The sequence below is a fragment of the Homo sapiens genome, chromosome 18 (genome assembly GCF_000001405.40).
Source record: "Homo sapiens chromosome 18, GRCh38.p14 Primary Assembly".
NCBI classification, from domain to species: Eukaryota; Metazoa; Chordata; class Mammalia; order Primates; family Hominidae; genus Homo; species Homo sapiens.
The window spans coordinates 2,397,202-2,404,364 of NC_000018.10; the positions used below are offsets into that span (position 1 = coordinate 2,397,202).

The 7,163-nt window shown below is 35.9% G+C and overlaps 1 annotated feature.

Annotated features, from left to right (window-relative positions):
- Positions 3,695-3,895: a silencer, noted in NCBI's record as "peak3044 fragment used in MPRA reporter construct". NCBI's record gives its function as "represses an SCP1 promoter by STARR-seq MPRAs in K562 erythroleukemia cells {active_cell/tissue: K562}" and the evidence as "EXISTENCE:reporter gene assay evidence [ECO:0000049][PMID:32103011]".

Genomic DNA, 7,163 nt, shown 5'->3' on the forward strand with positions numbered 1-7,163 from the left:
AAATGCTATGCAAATGTTTTTAATTATTATATAATATTTATTGTACAGATATACCATGTTTTATTATCCTTTTTCCATTTGGGGGTATTTATACAGTTTTTCACTATTATAAGTTGTGCTGCAAATAGCATTTAAGCATCAGTTTTTTAATCTATATTTTAAGTTCTTTCCTTAGGATGGATTTTCTTAAACCATAATATTGCATCAAAGGGCTTCATTATCAAAGCTATTGGTGCATATTACTAAATTGCATAAGTTTCTAAGATATGCTATCAGAGCCAATGGCAAATCTTCACTCTAGCACCAATTATTATCATTTTTTATTTTCCGAATATGTAATTTTAAAAAAAGCTTTCATTCTTATTTTATTTTATATTCCTCTATTAGAAAGCATGAATGTTTTCTCTCCAGTTGTGTTTTCTTATCTGGTTCCCTCCAGTATTTTGTAAACTGTTGGTTTACTTCGCCAATTAATTTTAACAGATTTGTAGTTTTCCTTATGGGAAACCATAAATTTCCTGGTTTTACCATTATGTTGAGAGGGAAAACAACATTATGTCAATTTTGCAAAGAATTTCTAGATGATGCTAGCTTAAAAATATATGGAATTTTTTATGACCTGAAGGTTATAACAGATAAAATGACGTTCAAGCTAGAGCTAAATATTTAATAAGGAGAAAGATTTTCAGAAATTTCACCCTTTGATGCTACCCAGGGCGGTGTCACAAAGTAACCAGAACCAAAGATTAATTGAAGCACATCTATAAAGAACTATTGTTGTAAAATAATTACTACCCTACGTTAAATAATCCAGAAATTTGAAATTTCATCACTAGAGTAGCCTAGGGATCCCTCTCTGAAAATGTAAATAATGCTAGTAGAAGTAGCACATGTAATAAAAGTGTGTGTGATTTGTAAGAGCTGCCTTTCTTCTCATGAGAAAAATCAAGCATGTGGGAAGCATTGGATCCCTGATGGGAGCATGAAAGACACCAAACCTAGGCATATCACAGGTAAGAGGCAAATCTCTCTCCGGCAAGCATTTTACCGATTTTTCCTCCTAACTCATAAGCTCCCCTTCTCTCCTTTTCCATCATGGTAATCCACTCTTTCTTCTTTAGGAGACCTGGGCCCTGGTCCCAATTCTTGCAGGAACAGAAAGAAAAGCTTAACGATGCCACCTCTCCCCCAGGCCTCAGGTTCCTATAAATTAAAGATTTGAATAAAATGATCACTTTAAAGTTCTGTAATTTATAAGTGTTGAGGTTTTAATGGTGCTTTGAGGGAAAATAGCAAAATGTTCTATCAACTGTATTGGTTTTGTTTGAAGGCATAATGTTCACTTTCAATACTTTCTCTTTATGACGATGGAAAATTCTTAAGTGTATTACTGTCTAATCCAAAGCAAAAATGAAAAGGTGCTGAAATCTGGCTTTTAACTCTGATATATTGATTTGTTATTTTAAGACTTATGAGACCAAATAAATGTATATTTTCCTGTTTAAAAAAAATATTTTCTCAGTCTAGTTATGTAGCAAATTGTTAGCCCCACTAACAGAACTGTAAAGGGGATTTTCTTAAAGAAACCATAAAACAATGGCACAAGTTAGTGGGGAGGGAGAGATATAAATAGAGCACAGAGGATTTTTAGGGCAGTGAAATTGCTCTGTATGGTTCTATAATGGTGGATATATTTGTTCAAACCCATAGAATGTACAACACCAAGAGTAAACCCTAAGGGAAACTGTGGGTGATGACAGTGTGTCAATGTACATTCATCAGTTGTAACAAATGTACCACCCTGGTGAAGTGCTGATAACGGGGAAGATTATGCATGTATTGGGAAAGGGGGTATATGGCAAACCTCTGTACCTTCCACTTAATTTTGCTGTGAACCTAAAACTGCTCTTAAAAATAAAATCTATTTTAAAAAAAACCATAGCAGCAACATTTTGGGAGATGCAAATCAGAGGAATGAATCAATATTAACTTTCCAAACTGGAAAAATCTAATCCTAAATTGTCAGTGGAGAAAGCTGAACAGAAACCTAATTCACAAACCAGAATCTTCAAATGTCTCAGAAATCAGCAGCAGCAGAAAATTCCAGTATTAGAAGTGAAGATACAGCTGAAAATGGAAACAAATTTCAAAGTTTGATTAGAAAGCCTCGAATGAGCTCCCCTTCTTTGTTAAACTGAGCGATTACCTCTCCCTAATCCCTAGGGAAAGACAAAACAGAAGGATTCTGGATGAGGACACTGCATACAGTTGAAGTCAGTGGTATCAAACTAAAGGAGGATTAAAACTGAGCATTTACACTGTTGGTGGGAGTGTAAACTAGCTCAACCATTGTGGAAGACAGTGTGGCAATTCCTCAAGGATCTAGAACTAGAAATACCATTTGACCCAGCCATCCCATTACTGGGTATATACCGAAAGGATTATAAATCACGCTACTATAAAGACACATGCACTCATATGTTTATTGCGGCACTATTCACAATAGCAAAGACTTGGAACCAAGCCAGATATCCATCAATGATAGACTGGATTAAGAAACTGTGGCACATATACACCATGGATACTATGCAGCCATAAAAAAGGATGAGTTCATGTCCTTTGCAGGGACATGGATGAAGCTGGAAACCATCATCCTGAGCAAACTATCACAGAGACAGAAAACCAAACACCGCATGTTCTCACTCATGGGTGGGAATTGAACAATGAGAACACTTGGACACAGGGCGGGGAACATCACACATGGGGGCCTGTCATGGGGTGGGGGAGAGGGGAGGGATAGTATTAGGAGAAATACCTAATGTAAATGACGAGTTAATGGGTGCACCAAACCAACATGGCACATATATGCCTATGTAACAAACCTGCACGTTGTGCACATGTACCCTAGAACTTAAAGTATAAAAAAAAAATTGAACCTGAATATTGAAACTCCATCCCTCTTTCCTGACTTGGTTCACAGGACACTGGCAGGGGGAGCCTGGAAGATCCTTATCTGTAGAATCTCACCAACTCAAGCAAAAGAAATTAAAGATATTGATATCTGAGTGTATCCCCAATGAAACAGTCTGATCTGCTCAGTCTATTGTGAAGTCTGTGGTCAACAAGCCCTGCACATGCAATGAGCTTCTCAGTGCACCACACTTGAATGTAAACTCACAGACAAGGAGTAATAGTCATTGGAAAAAAGACTCTAAGTTTTAGGGAAGAGACAAAACAAAGACAGAAAAAGGAACTTGAAGGAAATAGAGAACATTCAAGAAAAAGAACAATTTTTAAAATGTGTCTTCAGTATTCTCAGAGAGAAGAGATTTTATATCAATGAAGCTTGAACACAATAATATAGAGTAAAAACTTTGAGAGGAGAAAAAAGAACTTTGAGAAATTTTTAATAGTAGTAGAAATGAAAAACTCAATAGAATGACTGAATGATAAACATGAGGATATCTCTCAAAAAGTAGAGCAAAAAGGACAAAGTTATAAAAAAAAAAGAAGAAGAAATGATAAGAAAATGTGAGGCTAAGTCCAGGAGCTCCAACATCGTAGTAAAAGAATAGAAGGAACATACTTCAAAATAATAAAGGCCATATATGATGAACTCACAGCTAATGTACCAAATTCATACCAAATGGGGAAAGCTGAAAGCCTTTCCTCCAGGATCTGGAACGAGACAAGGATGCCTGCTTTCACCACTCTTATTCATCATAGTACTGGAAGTCCTTGCCAAACAATCAGGCAAGCAAAAGAAATAAAAGGCATCCAAATTGAGGGGGAAAAGGGAAGTCAATTGTTCCTCTTTTCTGATGATATGATCTTGTATCTAGAAAAACCTAAAGACCCCACCAAGAAAAGTTATAACTGATAAATGAACTCAGTAAAGTTGCAGGATATAAAATCAACATACAAAAATCAGTAGTATTTCTATACATCAATAATGAACTAACTGAGAAGGAAATCAAGAAGGCAATCCCATTTGCAATAACAACAGAGGAAAACACCTAGGAATAAATTTAATCAAGGAGGTAAAATATCTTAATGAAGAAATCTACAAAACACTGAAAGAAATTGAAGAAGACACAAATGGAAAGATATCTCATGCTCATGGATTAGAAGAATTAATATAATTTAAATGACCATACTACCCAAAGAAATTCACAAATTCAATGACATTTCTATCAAAACACCAATGTCATTTTTCACAGAATTACAAAAAAGAATCTTAAAATTTGTTTGGAAACAAAAAAGAACCAGAATAGTGAAAGCAATCCTGCGCAAGAAAAACAAAGTGAAGTCACACTACTTGACTTCAAAGCATATTACAAAGCTACAGTAACCAAAACAACATGATATTGGTATAAAAACAGACACATAAAGCAATGGAACAAAAATAGAGAGTCCATAAATAAATTCCCATATTTACAGCCAACTGATTTTCTATAAAAATACCAGGAACATACACTGGGATAAGGACACCTTTTTCAATAAATGGTGCCAGGAAAATTGGATATTCATATGCAGAAGAATGAAACTGAGACCCTATCTCTCCCCATATACAAAAATCAACTCAAGATAGAATAAGACTTAAGCATAAGACCTAAAACTATAACATTACTAGGAAAAAAATAGGGAAAATATTCAAGTCATCAATCTAGGCAAAGATTTCATGGCTCAGACCTCAAAAGCATAGACAATTATTACAAAAATAGACAAATGGGATTATATTAAACTAAAAAGCTACTGCACATCAAAGGAAACAATCAACAAATGAAGAGACAGGAAGAACAGGAGAACAGGAGAAAATATTTGCAAACTACTTATCTGACTAATATCCAAAATATACAAGGAACCTAAACAACTCAATGATTTTAAAAATGAATAATCCCATTAAAAAGTGGGCTAAGGACATGAACAGACATTTTTCAAAAGAAGACATATAAATGGCAGACAGGTCTATGAAAAAGTGCTCAACATCACTAATCAGGGAAATGCAGACCGAAACCACAATGAGATGTCATCTTTCCCCAGTTAGAATGGCTATGATGAAAAAGACAAAAAATGGCAAGAATGCAAAGAAAAGGGAACTCTTATAAACTGTTGATAGGAATGTAAATCAGTATAATCACTATGTAAAACAATGTGGAGGTTTCTCAAAAAATCTGAAAATAGAACTACAGTACAATCCAGCAAGCTCACTACTGGGCATTTATCCAAAGGAAAAGAAATAAGTATTATCAAAGGGATTCCTGCACCCCTATGTTGACTGCAGCACTATTCATAATATCAAAGAGATGGAATCAGCTTAAATATCCATCAATGGATGAATGCATAAAGAAATGTGGTATATGTATACAATAGAATACTCTTCAATCACAAAAGAGAATGAAATCATGTCATCTTCAGCGACATGGAAGGAACCGGAGGTCATTGTGTTAAGTCAAATAAAGCAGGCACAAAGAGACAAATATTGCTTGTCCTCACTCATATGTGAAAGCAAAAAGAGTTTATCTCATAGAGGTAGAGAATAGAATGGTAGATACTGGAGGCTGGGAAGGGTGCGTGGGTGGGAGGCCCAGGATGCAGAAAGGTTGGTTAATGGGTACAAACATACAATTAGATAGAATATATAAGTTCTAAAGTTCATGACTTTAAGTTCTAGAGTAGCATGACTACAGTTAGCAACAACGTATTGTGTATTTCTAAGTAGCTAGAAGAGAGGTCTTGAGTTGCTCCCAACACATAGAAATGATAAACACTCAAGGTGATGGGCACCCCAAATACCCCAACTTGATCATTACACATTCTATGCATGTAACCAATATTCGCATGTACCCCATAATTACATAAAATATTGCATATCAATAAAAAACTATTGAAATAGTAAATTTTATATTATGTATATCTTACCATAATAAAAAAATAAAAAGAAAAAAGCTCCAGTAGGGATGTCTCCAAAAAGATGAAATAGATACATTACTTGACCTGTTTTAATTAAGAGGAAATTAAAGTTTCTGAGGGATAAATTAGGAAAAAGAGATAAGTAAATAGAAAACAAAGCAAATTCAAAATGAGATAATTATTAACCACAACAAAAGAAAATTTTAAAGCTGTGCAAGGAAAGAAAAGTATCGCAGGGTCTAACCTAGCAAATAGCTAACCTAGGCCCACTTCTAGCATTTACAGAATGGGGGCAAGATAAATGAAGGCCCACTTATCGTATGACTATATATTTTGAAAATATAAATTAAATTAGCAAAGTGTTAAATAAAATATATTCTATCCTCCTACCTTAGTAAATGACCTGGAAGTCCAGGACAGAATTTAAAATTCTCAAGTTTTTCCAAGTTCCACACCAGAACTTTGCAGTGGAAGGGGAGAACCAGCCACTGGCCCCAGCTGAACAGCTCACCCTTTTTCTTCCAGCCCCAGGGTCCATCCCACATCTGAAGAGCCTTGTGGGCATGTGTCTGGACACACACACGTGTCCATGCTCTGACCACACCCTCACCAACACCTCCCTCCTAGGTACCCACATAGGTGGCACCCTCCACCTTTAGTAGGACATGAGACACGCATGGGCCTTGGAAGCCATTTCAGGCCATTTGGGTGGGGAATTCTAGGTCTCTGAACCCAGTGCGAGACCTGGAAAGGGAGCCTCCTTGACCCTGTGAATTTCTCTCCCCATGAGTAAGGGCCAGAAGAAGATCTCCCAAAGTGTGGCTGGCAAGACACGGGCCTCTTTACAAATGTCTAAGACTCGTATTGGGCTCAGCTGAAAACAGCATTTATATAAGCATGGCAGTGTACATAATAAATATTAATACAAAAATGTTAACATGAAATTATGAAGAGGATGATGGGGATGGGAAACATGCAGTGAAGAGCTTGGTATAAGGGGTAAGGATTAAAGAGAAATAAAGCCTGATCTTTTATAGTAGGAAGTCTAAAGATAATGCCTAAAAGTGAAGAACCTAGAAGTTGAATATAATCATGTTATTTAGGGATATAAAGAAAAAAAAGAAATAACTAAAAAGCATTGAGCTCTAAGAAATAAAAGGGAGGAGAGCAGAATTGTAGGGGAGTATTATTCTCTATATAAGACTTGTATAGGCCGGGAGTGGTGACTCACGCCTGTAATCCCAGCACTT